Source organism: Homo sapiens, chromosome 13 (assembly GCF_000001405.40).
Source record: "Homo sapiens chromosome 13, GRCh38.p14 Primary Assembly".
NCBI lineage: Eukaryota > Metazoa > Chordata > Mammalia > Primates > Hominidae > Homo > Homo sapiens.
Window position 1 is genome coordinate 98,989,828 of NC_000013.11, and position 13,403 is coordinate 99,003,230.

At 43.6% G+C, this 13,403-nt stretch overlaps 1 protein-coding gene across 17 annotated transcripts in view, besides 2 other annotated features; it reads right to left on the bottom strand.

Annotated features, from left to right (window-relative positions):
- The window catches only part of DOCK9 (dedicator of cytokinesis 9), a 295,191-nt gene that overhangs the window by 196,399 nt on the left and 85,389 nt on the right, over positions 1-13,403 (bottom strand). The gene's annotated exons all lie outside the window — the stretch shown is intronic.
- Positions 2,202-3,401: an enhancer, noted in NCBI's record as "CDK7 strongly-dependent group 2 enhancer chr13:99644283-99645482 (GRCh37/hg19 assembly coordinates)". NCBI's record gives its function as "activates an origin of replication core promoter dependent on BRD2, BRD4, P300/CBP, MED14 and CDK7 cofactors, with strong dependence on CDK7, by STARR-seq in HCT116 cells {active_cell/tissue: HCT116}" and the evidence as "EXISTENCE:reporter gene assay evidence [ECO:0000049][PMID:35650434]".
- Positions 4,243-4,744: an enhancer, noted in NCBI's record as "NANOG hESC enhancer chr13:99646324-99646825 (GRCh37/hg19 assembly coordinates)". NCBI's record gives its function as "activates a minimal SCP1, AML or CMV promoter by ChIP-STARR-seq in primed H9 embryonic stem cells {active_cell/tissue: H9 hESC(primed)}" and the evidence as "EXISTENCE:reporter gene assay evidence [ECO:0000049][PMID:30033119]".

Below are 13,403 nucleotides of genomic sequence, written 5' to 3' on the forward strand. Positions count from 1 at the left end.
TACAAAGTCTTAGAATCACCATTCCCCCTCTTCCCCCACTCCTCCTTCCATGCTCAAGTAAAATGCCTTTCAATTTCAAACCAATAAGAAAGGGTCTACAGAGCAGTACAATATTCACACATCTTTCAAATATTTGTAATTGTGTGATCACATATTGAAACACTTGCTTAGCAGTATACTTTCCCAGAACAAAACCAACCCTAGTGTTCTGCTGCCTACAATTCAGTCACAAAAGCCTTAGTTGCTCACAGCCTCAGTTACAAGCTCTTGAAATTCAAGTTCAAATGTGTGACCATCATAGGATGGTAACTAAAAGCAATGAACCAATCTGTTTAGAGAAGAGTAAAGGCATTTCTAAGGTTTTCCTTTCTCTCCACCATAAGAGGAAAAAAATGCAGAAGTCACGTCTTCCGTATGCATTCTTCACAATTCACTGCAATGAAAATAATGCCCCATCCAGTGTTACAGACTTAATGTACTATTATTTTCCTTTTAAACAGAATCTGTTACTCAGACACTGTATTGATATAACTTTCATGAGCTTGTCTATTCCCTGGTATAAGACTTGAAGAAAAGACGGTAAAATAAAAAATCTTAAGCAAGTTTTGTTTGGCAGCATTTTACAATTGAGAGTATGTTAAATAACACGTTCCCCAACAACTCATTTTGAAATAACTGCAGCACATACTACTACAGCTTATAGCTCTTCATTAATTTGGGGAAAAACATGAGACTTCTAGATTAATTGCAAGAGACTTAAGGCGACCACAAGTGCTGGGGGATTTGCTCCCCAAGGCTGGTGTGCCACCTCCATGTTTCCACTTATCTCAGGGACACACATCCACAAAAATGAGGACAGACAATCCCATGGTCAAGTTCTTTTCAGCCCAAACTCTGCAATTCAGCAATACATATGAGCACCCCAGTTAATGGGCTCACTTTATCCTTCTACTATACTAATTTTGTCATACTGTATGCAACCCAGCACTTATCACAAAAGAGAACACCTTAGGACTCTCACTAAAGTAGTCAAAAGAACCAAAAGGAATGCGGAATGCTCTCCTGTATTTACTCATTAATCCATTCATTAATGGATGGATTCATGCATTAAATTCCTTCCTTGCTAATCACTCAGCAAGCATTTCTTAACCACAGAGCGCTGCACAAGGTTTGGGAAATAAGGAACACACAATCTAGTTCAAGAGTACGATGTCTGAAAGTGGACTAAAAGGGATGCAAACAAGTAATTTCTTTTTTTTTTTGAGATGGAGTTTCGCTTTGTTACCCAGGCTGGAGTGCAGTGGCATGATTTTGGCTCACCACAACCTCCGCCTCCTGGGTTCACGTTGATTCTTTGCCTCAGCCTCCCCAGTAGCTAAGACTATAGGCATGCACCACCATGCCCGGCTGATTTTCGTATTTTTAGTAGAGACGTGGTCTCACCATGTTGACCAGGCTGGTCTTGAACTCCTGACCTCGTGATGCTCCTGCCTCGGCCTCCCAAAGTGCTGGGATTACAGGCGCGAGCCACCGCACTCGGCCGCAAACAAGTAATTTCAATAACAAGTGTGACAGGAGTAGCTAGACCTGTGCTGGCCAATATGGTAGCCACTAGCCACACGGGGCTACTCGAGATTTGCCTAGTTGAACCTGGATGTGCTATACACACTGGGTTTCAAAGACTCTGTGTGACAAAAAGAATGTAAAATATCTTAAGAGTTTTTTTATTGATTACTTATTGAATAATATTTGAATATACTGGGTTAAATAAAATATATTAGTAAAACTGATTTTATCTGTTTTTTATGGTTTTTAATATAGCTAGCAGAAAATGTAAAATTATATATAAATATAAATTACATATATACATATATAAAAATATTATATTTTTAGTGGAAAGTGTTGGACTAGGCAATCCCCAATCCTGTCTCTTCTTCCTAGGCAGTCGACTTTCCAATCTCCTTGGCAGTTAGGCTGAAACTACGTCACTAGGTTCTGGCCCAAGAAAAAAGTAAAAAAAAATAATAATAAGGTCGCAGAGACCAGGCACAGTCAAGGAACATGCTGCTTGATGATCCTTGCTTTCTCCCCACCTGTGGGGCCACTGGATGCAGGGAATCTGGAGGAGCCTGAGGCCCTGGCTACACAGGAGCCACAGAGGTAAGAAGCCAGGCTCCTACATCATCACATGGAAGACCACCGCATGTACACCTGGTGAGATCGTGTCACACATGAGAAATAAAACTGTACAGTGTGAAGCTACAGCAGTTAGCCTACCCTGCCTAACCAATACAGTGAAAAAAAAAAAAATGCCCCAACAGGAGGGATGGCTGACTACCTGTTGAGGAGTTATCAGGATAAGCTTCAGGAGATGGGGTGCTATTTGAATGGTGTCTAAAAGGTGGTGGTTCCCAAACTCTTATCATGTCAGGATCATTTAGAGAGCTTGTTAAAACAGCCCACTGGGCCCTCTTCTGACCCTCTCAGAAGACCCAGATGGTCTATGTGGGAGTGTCAGCCCCTTAAGGGCACTCCGATCTCCCCCAGGCCCTCCTCGGAGCTACCATGAGCCTCCCCTCCCAGCTTCCCTTCAGTTGGGTAGGTCTACTCAGCGGGTCTAGAATGCAGCTGATATGGTTTGGCTCTGTGTCTAAACCCAAATCTCACCTTAAATTGTAATAATCCTCACGTGTCATGGGAGAGATCCGGTGGGAAGTAAGTGAATCATGGGGCCAGGTTTTTCCCCTGCTGTTCTCATGAGTAAGTCTCATGAGATCTGATGGTTTAATAAAAGGGAGTTCCCCAGCACACCCCACTTGCCTGCCGCCACATAAGATGTGCCTTTGCTTTTCCTTCGCCTTCCACCATGATTGTGAGGCTTCTCCAGCCATGTGGAACTGTGAGTCCATTAAACCTCTTTCCTTTATAAATTACAGTCTCAGGTATGTCTTTATTAGCAGCATGAGAATGGACTAATACAGCAGCTGAGAATCCACAGCTCTCCTGATGCTGCTGGCTCAGGGAGCAAACTTGAAAAGCAAAGTCTTAAAGAATAAGCAAGACGTTCTGAAGCAGTGAAGAGAGTAAAAGGTGTTCAAGCAAAAAGGAAGTACATATCCAGAAAGGTGTGGAAGTCTGAAAGAGCATGGTGTGTTTGGGAAACAGCAAGACTTTAGATGAAGCAGCACCCCCAGCATGGCAAAGCAGGAGAAAAAGACAGAAAGGTAGGTGGAATCAGAATGAAGACAGCTGCAGTCTTAGTCAGGAGTATGGACTCTGCCTCCTCAATGAGAAGTGTAAAACACAGCCTCTTTTCCACAGCATATGCAGTAATAAAAATAATTACTCCAAAGTAAATATGGGTATCTGGTAGTTAATACTTCAATTACCGGCACAATTCCTGGGTAAATGACAGGGGCATAATATGGTAACTTGATCATTACGGACCCCGTATGAGACTCCAAATTCCTAATTCTCAGATTCTCTACCCATATGTTGTTATCTCATTATGTGACATGAGAAACAATTTAAGCAGAGTAACATTCGCCTTCAAATCTACTTCACAGCAGCCTTTGAGAGGTAGGAAATTTTTTAAACTGTTCCTAGGAAGATGTGTATAATTTACATGAGAGTGTCTATTATTTTAGGTGGCTGTCTTGGAGAGAAGCAATCAGAAATAACAAACCATGATAAAGAAAGGAAAGACTGATGGGCTTGTGATCAGTGAAGGAAGGCAGTAACTATGGAAAACAACATGTCTTCACTAGGAATACTTCCACTAGGTGGTGGCGGGCACCTGTAGTCCCTGGAGGCTGAGGCAGGAGAATGGCGTGAACCCGGGAGGCGGAGCTTGCAGTAAGCTGAGATTGCGTCACTGCACTCCAGCATGGGTGACAGAGCGAGACTCCGTCTCAAAAAATAAAAATAAATAAAGTTTGTAAATAAAGTTTATATTGTAAATAATAAATAAAAGTTTTGGTTTTTAAAGTTTATTAAATGTTTTCTCTCACTGTAGTTAGAATTATCTAATATGTGAAATTTGCTTATGTTGAAAATTCAAGGAAGTAAATAAGTTGTACTTCAAAGAGAAAAAAATATTATGACATTACTATCAACAATAAACCTTAGTATCATCAAGTTGTAATGTGAGATTGCGGGCAATCCAATTCACAGGAGTAAATGTGTGATTGAAGGAAGAGCTCCTTGCAAAGCTGGGTTTGGGATGGTCCTTAAAGAATAAGAAATATATTAAAATAAAAAAACTTTAAAATAAAAAAATAATCAATGGACTAGACTTTATCTACTTTAGAAAAGTCTACTGCAGGTGAAGGGCTGTTGGCGTGAGTCCCAACAGAAGCTGGGGTGCCTACCATCTCCTAGGACAGAAGCTGTTCTGCCCACTTGGGCTTGTTTGAGCACTTCTCCTTTGTAACCTGAAGCATCAGGTATTCTAATCTAGTGGTTCCCCACTGGGGGTGATTTTACCCTCCAGCAGGGAATGTGGCACTATCTGGAAGCATTTTTGGCTGTCATGACTTGCAGAAGGGGGGTTGTACCTGCCATATACTGGGTAGGGCCAAGGATGCTGCCAAACATGGTATAATACAGAAACCGGCCCCCTCAACAAAGAATTATCCAGCCCAAAATGTCAACAGTGCTAAGGCTGAGAAATGCAGCACCAATCCTACCGGGAGAATTACTTTTCAAATTTGAATCTTCTTCTGTGACAAAGGAATGTGTGTCCAGAGAGTTCAGTGTATTCATCCTACATTTACATATAATTGTGTTACTCATATATAATCAGATATGAGTGTATATATTATGTAATTATATATCTAATATATAATTATATCCTTGATCAAGATCAATTAATTCATTGTTCCTTCCTCTTAATTGTGCTCCTAGTAAAATGTCTTTTTTGTCTGTATATCAAGTGGTAATTCCGCTTCCCCTTTCTTTCCATACATTCTTTTGTATGACTTCTACAAAAAAATTAAGAACATATATATGGTAACCAATTCTTTGTGTCAAATATATAATTATTACATATTAAAATATTCTAGAAGCTCAAAAATATTAAACACTTAAGTTTTACTTTTCTGTTCACTTTAAATTGTAAACGAGTGAAAAATTCTAAGTTCGTGAGGTATGGTTATTACCCTTTGACAAACAGGAAATTGCATAAACAACCCAGGTGCTCTAAAGAAATGTACGCATGGGAAAAAAATCAAAAGGATGTGAATTGTGCTGTTAGAAGTGTATCTGCTAGATAGACACATGTGCAGGCCCATCAGTCATTACAGACTCCAAGTCACACCATGACAGAAACAAAACACCGTTCCCGAGGAAATCTTTGTTTGCAGACTGTTTCTATTAATTTATTTCACTCATGAAAAGCTAATGCTGGGGTGTCGTGTGAAGTAAAAACATTACAGTGGTTCATCATATACACCAGCAAGCAGGCTGGAAGGAAGGAGTATTGGGAGATGTGCTGACCAGGCTTTCTACAAGCATACTCAGAGACCACAATGAAATCAACCAGTAAACAACTAGCAACACGATTACTAGTTTATTTACAATTGTGTTAAGTGCAATGAAAGAAAAGTAGAGGATGCGTAACTAGTCTCAGGTTAAATAAGCCTCCTTTGAGGAAGATACTTTTTTTTTTTTTTTTTTTTTGAGACAGAGTCTCGCTCTGTCCCCCAGGCTGGAGTACAGTGGCGCGATCTCGGCTCACTGCAAGCTCCGCCCCCCGAGTTCACACCATTCTCCTGCCTCAGCCTCCCGAGTAGCTGGGACTACAGGCACCTGCCACCACGCCCGGCTAATTTTTTGTATTTTCAGTAGAGACGGGGTTTCAGCGTGTTAGCCAGGATGGTCTCGATCTCCTCACCTTGTGATCCGCCCGTCTAGGCCTCCCAAAGTGCTGGGATTACAGGTGTGAGCCACTGCGCCCGGCCGGAAGATACTTTTAAACATGGCTAGAAGGAGGAGTGAATTCTGAATAGTGGCTGAGTTAGTGCAAATTGAGGGGTGAGGAAATAGCATGTGCAAAGGCCCTGAAGCGCAGAATAGTTTGCCCTCTTTGAGCAGCTGAACAGTGGCCCATTCAGTGCAGTGGTCCAGGGGAGAACAGCACACGATGAGCCCAGTAGGGTAAGCACGGTGCAGATCATATTGGGCCTTGTTAGCCATGGCAGGCATATTGAGGATTGTGTATTTCAACCTGAGCTAAATGGAAAGCCACCAAAGGGCTTTAAATAGCAGATGGCATATGGACATATACGCACTGGGATGAGGTATAGGCCTTCAGATGCAAACAGAGATGACCACATATAGACAGGTGGTGGCTACAACAATGAAAGTGAATGTCATCACCTAAAAAGAGGATGCTGGCCAAGGATGGAGCCCTCAGTAATACAAGTGCTGCTCGTAATTACCACAACCCATCCTTCTCACTCACAGTGTCCACGGCACAAAGCAGAACACAACTAAGACAGCGGTCACACATCTTTTTCCAGATCCCGAGTAGTACTAACAGCAATTCATCACTAGCTGACTTATGTTATACCTTGTAAGCCATCTAGAGCTAAGATCAATACTAATATTATATAACTAACTCTTCACAAATGTATATTTCACATTCCAACTGGACTGTGCCTTACAGGTCCTTACATTACCCATATATTCCAATAATCTATTTCAAAATCAAAGAATTTCTGACCTGGAGGGGATAATCTAATCCAAGCTTGTCCAATCCACGGCCCAGGGCCATATGTGGCCCAGGATGGCTTTGAATGCAGCCCAACACAAATTCGTAAACTTTCACTTTCTTAAAACATTATGAGTTTTGCAATTTTTTAAAAGCTCATCAGCTATCACTAGTGTTAGTGTATTTTATGTGTGGCCCAGGACAATTCTTCTTCTTCCAGTGTGGCCCAGGGAAGCCAAAAGATTGGGCACTCCTGATCTAATCCTTTACCTTCCTTGGTTTTATTGTTTATATTTCTTATTATAATAACTTGGAAGTAAGTTGCTCTGCCAATGGTAAAGCAAACAGCATAGTTTTACCCCAAAAATGCGGATCTTCTGAAATCCAAAGAAACTCCTTGCATACTAAGTCCAATCGGTACTCATTCCTCAGCTGGCATAACAGAAAGAAGACAAGAAAAGACATGTGCTCCCCTCTCACAACCTGAATGGGAAAGGAGTATTGGGAGATGTGCTGACTATCCAGGGTTTCTACAAGAGGACAGTGGAAAAGAGGGAAAAGAGGGCTTCTCGAATGTGTAGTCAATGTGTGCAGCAGACACTCACAGCGCACTTACCCTAGAACACGCCGCTTCGCAGGGCACCTGTGTCTGCTGCCTGCAGGCCCACACGTCTCAGGAACTAAAGCGAACACTGTAAAATCACTGAGCTGTGGCCCTCTGTGGATCACCTCACTTTCCTCTGGTTATTCAGGCAGGGTTCGCCCACCCCACGCCCAGAGGCAAACAATAAGAAAACTTGGAGTAAAAAAGAACTTACCAATTCAGCTCAAATTTCTAACTAAAGCCTTTTATTTGACCAGCTCAGTCCTGCTGAGCCCCGCACCTCAGAGTTGCTTTGCCTAAACATCTGTAAAGAAGACCTCTCTCAAGGGCATGACAGTAAGTCTCCTGGCTGACCACTAGATTCCTATTTGCCACATGTGAAAGAAGAGCAGACCAGTAGCGATGTGAAATGAGGTTTGTCTTCAAAACCACCCACTCTTTTGATATCCTTTGTTGGTCTCTCAACACTTCCTTCCCTCACTCCATCCACATCAGACTATTTCCAGGGATTGCCATGGGCAGCCTTCACTGTTCTTTGTGGGAATTATTTTCCTGTCTCTGTGCATTGCTGGCTTGCAATTCCAGCCCTGGCTGGTCAGGAATACTCCAGTCACCCCCTGACTTTGTGCATCTTTGTTATACAATAGAAAACATTTCCATGTGGGGATTCTGGGAGAATAACTGAGAAGCATGCTGCTTTCCAGCCCCGTAGCTAACGAGAGGTCTGTTCTGCCAAAGTGTGGCACTGGCCCAGCCCCACCCTTGACCAACACAGCAGATTCTCCTAAGTCCCCAGGATCATCTCTGTAAAAGCCCTGAGGATTTTCTCAGACTAGGGCTGAGGCCATTCTGCTCTTCCAAGATTTGCTGCAAACCACAGAAACATCTCCAGGGTGATGGTGAGGGTGTCATGCATGTGACACCTGCCATTCTCCTCAGCTTTTCCTCTGTACTTGGTGGACCTCTGTGAATGAGTCACAGATGAGAACAGCTGAGGTGGGGCCGGGATAGACAGTGGAGCCTTGGGGCAAGGGTGATGGCAGCTGGCAGGCATGCATCATCAGAGAAGCCAGACAGGGCAGCAAGGTCCGGGCACCCAGACACCCACAGCGCACATGTCTCAATTCACTAAATGAAGTGGAAGCCCCTGAAGGTAGGACCCACCCTACCCTCAAGATGCAAACTCTGCTCACCCTCTGGGTATCCACTAAGACTGATTATTTGTCTAGGCATAGAGACAAATGGGAAACACCTGGCACCAATTATGTGTGGAGCACTCGAAAATCCTTTTTAACCTCGGATGCACTTACAGCACTCATGGCCTTGGTTTCCATCTGAATGATCCGGGCAGAGTCTCACACCAAGCTTCCAAAACCCTTTTAAGAATTTCCGAACCAAGAGACTTGGTGAAATCCATGAATGAGGAAGTCTTGTGGTACAGGAAGCATGGTCCAGGTCAGCCCCTACCCTACCCACCTGGCCTCTTCCAATCCATCACCCACCCAGGCACAGAGGAGCAACATTCTCAAATGGGGCTGAGATTAGGCTGCATGGCCCCTAATCGTCCAACTGCTAAAGTCTAGGCACAGACTCGTTGGGACCCCTCATCTCACCCTCCAATGATTACCATATAGTCATGGAGAGAGGCGAAGGCACAGACAATCCAAGGCCTTCCAGATTTCCCTGTGGGTCTGAGCAACCAGGCTCATCTTCCTAATGGTGTTTCACTTTGGGCTACTGTCAAAATTAGTTTGCAACCCCAAACTCACAATAAGTGGGTGGTGGAGGAAGCCAACCATAGTGTCCTTGGGGCTGGAGAAAGGGAAGCAAGCTCGGATCACACTTTTGCTACGTGAATCACCTAACCACAGATAACAGGGTGACAGGAAGTCAATGATTTGTATCATCTCCCCCTTTGACTCTTGAGATAAAAAGACCTAACCCAAACTTCAGAGAGTCACTGGCAATGGAGGCTAAGACACTGCAGATGTGGGGAATAAAAGCCCAGTGTGGCGATTCCCTGAGTTCCTTGAATAGTCTTTCCAACTAATTAATCTTCTTGTTCACATGTTCAGAGGGTGAGTGTGTGACCTGGAACACAGGTCATAGGAGCAGCTTATGAACAGATGTGTGCACGCATGCACGCGCACACACACACACACACACACACACACTCTCTCTCTCTCTCTCTCTGGAAGGTGACTAATGAGAGGATACCAAAACAACCCTTCTTTTAACAAGAAAAGCAAAAATAGTTTTAAATTGGCTTTTAAAATCTCATTTCCTAATAGAAGGATTTCTTGAATGATGATTTCCCTTGCTTGTTTCCAGATCATCTGGCCTTCTCCTGAATTCTCCAGTTGCCTGATTTGAGCCAAGTCCTGCGTGTCTGGGGTTGCAGGACAGACAACATAAACAGTACTAAAACTTATCCTCAGTGTTTCTTTCTTTTCATGTTTCTTTTTTAACAGAAAGAGGGCGATTCAAAAATTATAAAAATGGAAAAGGGTTTAAATTACTGATGCACAGAGAGGTTGTTTTTAAAATTAAGACCATTCCTGCATACTTTGCCTTTGGATGGTGTCCAGCATTTTTCAGATAAACATGCATCTGCACAAACTATCAGCGTTTCCACTTGTTTTACAAAACTGGTCACAAAGAGTATGATTTGGACAGAAGCCTGTATCCTTCTGTAACACAACAGCCCAGTCCAAAAGGTGGTTGAATGCTAAGGGTGAAAAGTGAAAACGGAAATTCAGTATCAAATCTCTTGCACCAAAGTTCCCAGGCACCATGACCACTCCCTGCCTTGTTATTTGGCAAAGAACTGGTTAAAAAAAGAAAAAAAGAAGAAGAAGAAAGCAACAATAAGACGATATACACTTTTGGGGAGTAGCTAAAATGTTTAGGGCTCTGCCTGCCTTAATACTCAACCTACCTGACCCCCTAAATCAGTTTGGTAAAAGCAAGATGACCTGATCTGATTCTGGGATCTGGGAGAAAATACACGCAGAAGGGGCTCCTATCACCAACTCTCATTATAAATATGCCACAATCCTTTTCACAGCCCTTCTCTGAGTCTTCTCCTGCCCTGATGTGTCCTTCTGAAGATGCAACACTCAGTTCTGAACAGAATGCAGAACCCCAGCAGGTCATGCATCTGAATGAGAAAGCAGTATCTTCCTGTCCTCTCTTCACAAGGCCCCAGGATGTTAGGACCAGCAATGCAATCTGCTGATGTTTTCAGCTCCTTTCAAAGCAAGGTGCTAGATTCCCAAACTTCTCCTCCTGAGGGCTTGCTTGGCAGAGTAGCTTAGTAGAGGGTGGCTTGCAGGTGGCAAGATACAGCACGGTAGGACACCATTAAAAATCTCATGCCCTCCACAGTTAAACATTTGAAATTTGCTCAAGAAAACTGTCACATACTTGAAAAAAGAAAGAAGAAAAATGAGGTAAAATCATTCTCCTCACTCGAAATAAAAATTGAAACTCATGCACAGAGATGGGCTGGCATACAGACTCCATTTGTTCTGCAGCTTGGAAATGAATGACAAAATGCCCCCAAACCTTCCATATTCACCTCCAGTGCCACCCTCAGTTAACAACTCCCCTCCAAAATGCAAATACCCTTTAGCAGATACAAGTCTATTAGCTATTTTTACCATAGTGTGATTTTTTACAATCAGATAAGAACGTAACATCTAGCTGAGGTCATTCACATGCAGAAACTGTTAAGTTCTGGCAGTGAAAAAAGATGAGTGGCAGTGGAGCTCAGGAGCACCTAGGGTGGGAGGGCAAGGCTCTGCAGTTTGGGGTTCCAGAGGCCAAGGCGCAACAGCAGAAGAGAGGACAAAAAAGGACAAGAAGGGGCTTCTGTGCATTTCCCCAAATACACCCTTACCCTGGTGGCGTCAGCACTTACCTCTCAGCAAGGAAAGGCCTTCAGCCTGAGCTGTGAAAGATGAAGACTAAACAATGATTCTAAGGTTCTCTTCTCCACTCCCATCTACCGAACTCACTTCGCAAGTAGTAAAGGGATAATTATTTAAATATACTGCCTTACATTTACTTGCTGGTACGAAACCACTTGTAATCTCTATTCAGAAACCACTTAAATTTGGTTTCAAAATTTTGTTCTCAGTGAGGGACTTTAGGTAAAGTAGTTCCCCAGAACTCCTTAATAACAGGAAAAGTTGGAAGTGCTATGCCCATTATATACACAGCTACCAAGTCCTGTTGACAATCTAAATGGAGAGAGTATCTTTTCATCCTCTTTCTGCCATGGGTAGTGATCACAGACTGGGGCCCTCATCCCATACAAGCCCTTTGTGGCTTTTTCATTCAGTTTCTCTTGTGTGTTAGAAGAGGTAGCAGGGTAACTTTTTCTGTGAGAAAATCAGAAGGCACGCCTTAGGTGTATGGGTCTTTCCAGACATCACACTAAGGTAACTCTTGGATTAACTTAATTAGCTCTCACAGTCAAAACAAGATGATAAGCCTATGGCTGAGAGAGGAGGACTTGGGGCCTTTCTGACACCAAGGAAGACACAGCATGGAGACATGAAAGAGGACAGGACAGCCTGAGATATCTGCCATGAGGCAGGAGCAGGCTGGGAAGTTATCGAAGCTCAAGCGTCCGCATGCTCCCTTGCAGGGGCTCCCCCTATGGTCTCGTACCTCACTTGGTATTTGTAATTTTCTATTTGTTTTCTTAAAGAGGGACTTCCAACTGGCAAGAATGTTAGGGCCCTATGAAAGCTGGATCTGTCCTTGACCTGAAAGTTCCTCAAGCACTCAAACTTAGCAAGACCAAGAGTGAGCTCCCGATCTCTCTACCCCACTCCCCACCTACGCTTACATCCGTCCTTCCTCTGCGCTTGCATCTGATCAAGGGCACCACTACCACGGAGTCAGAAGATGGGGCATGGGGCACTGTTACCCCTGCTCCCTCATTCACTTCCATTGTGCATCAGTCAAGTAAATTCTAGTAAAAAGTAAATCTATAAAAATTCTCTAGTTTGACCCTTTCCCTTCATCCCCTTGGTCGCAGGGTTTGTGTGGGGGATCAGAGCTTTCACTCCTGCTCTCCCTGTCTCTCCCTTTCTGATTCTGATCCCACTCTGATGTGAGAGGAGGATCTAATATCACCCCTCAGGGGCCCTGCAAGCCTTCAGGCTTGAACATAAATTTCTCAGCCCACGTGTGCAGCTCTGCACAAATGGCCAGAGCATTCCAAAGGCTGAGCTTCTCAGGCTTCCTTGAGCATCACAGAACACACTACTCCCTTCAGGGGCAACGTCCTCCCCACCCACATCCACATTCTAACCTCCTAGGCATCTGTGTTCATCCTTCAAACCCAGCTCAGGTGTCACCTTCTCTTCTATCCTTCTCCACGGTCCCTGGTCAGTGGGTTCACACAGCCTTTGGTTGCTCATGGAATTCAGCAACTTTTTTCTACTAATGTTACCTTTTGCTTCCCAAGCTAGACCAGGCTCCCCATTCAACTTTGTCTCATCTTTTTCTCACTCTTCCACTGTCGTGGGGTTTGCTCATTTCTGAGAACTTTTCCATGCACTGTCCTGACTTCACCTTTCTGCTAAGCTCAGCTGACACGCAGGACTCTGTGGTATGGAGGGAAAGAGCACACAGGGCTCTGGAACTAAGTGACAGGTTTGAATCCTGGCCCGTCCTACTCACTTGCTGTGTGATTTTAAACAGTATTTACACTTTTCTTTGTTCCTTGGCTTCCTCATCTATAAAATAAAGGTAACCACAGTTTCTACATCAGGGGGTTGTCATAAGGATGGAACAAGTAAATAGACATGGAAACGGCATGATAACTAGTTAACAATAGAAGTCTGCTCTTCTGATGGAGGGAGGGGAGGGGAGGGGAAAGAAGAAGAGAATGGTTTTATTCAATGATCAATTCTTTCCCCAGTCTACTACACAAGCCCCTTCCAGGCCAAGGGGATACCTTGAAATTCTGTTGTGCCTAAAAGGATGGTGTGCACATAACATATTTTGTTAAATGTTCCTGCGGACAGTAAAGATGATGGTGTTGGTGAACTAGAGGCAAGAGGCTTAAAC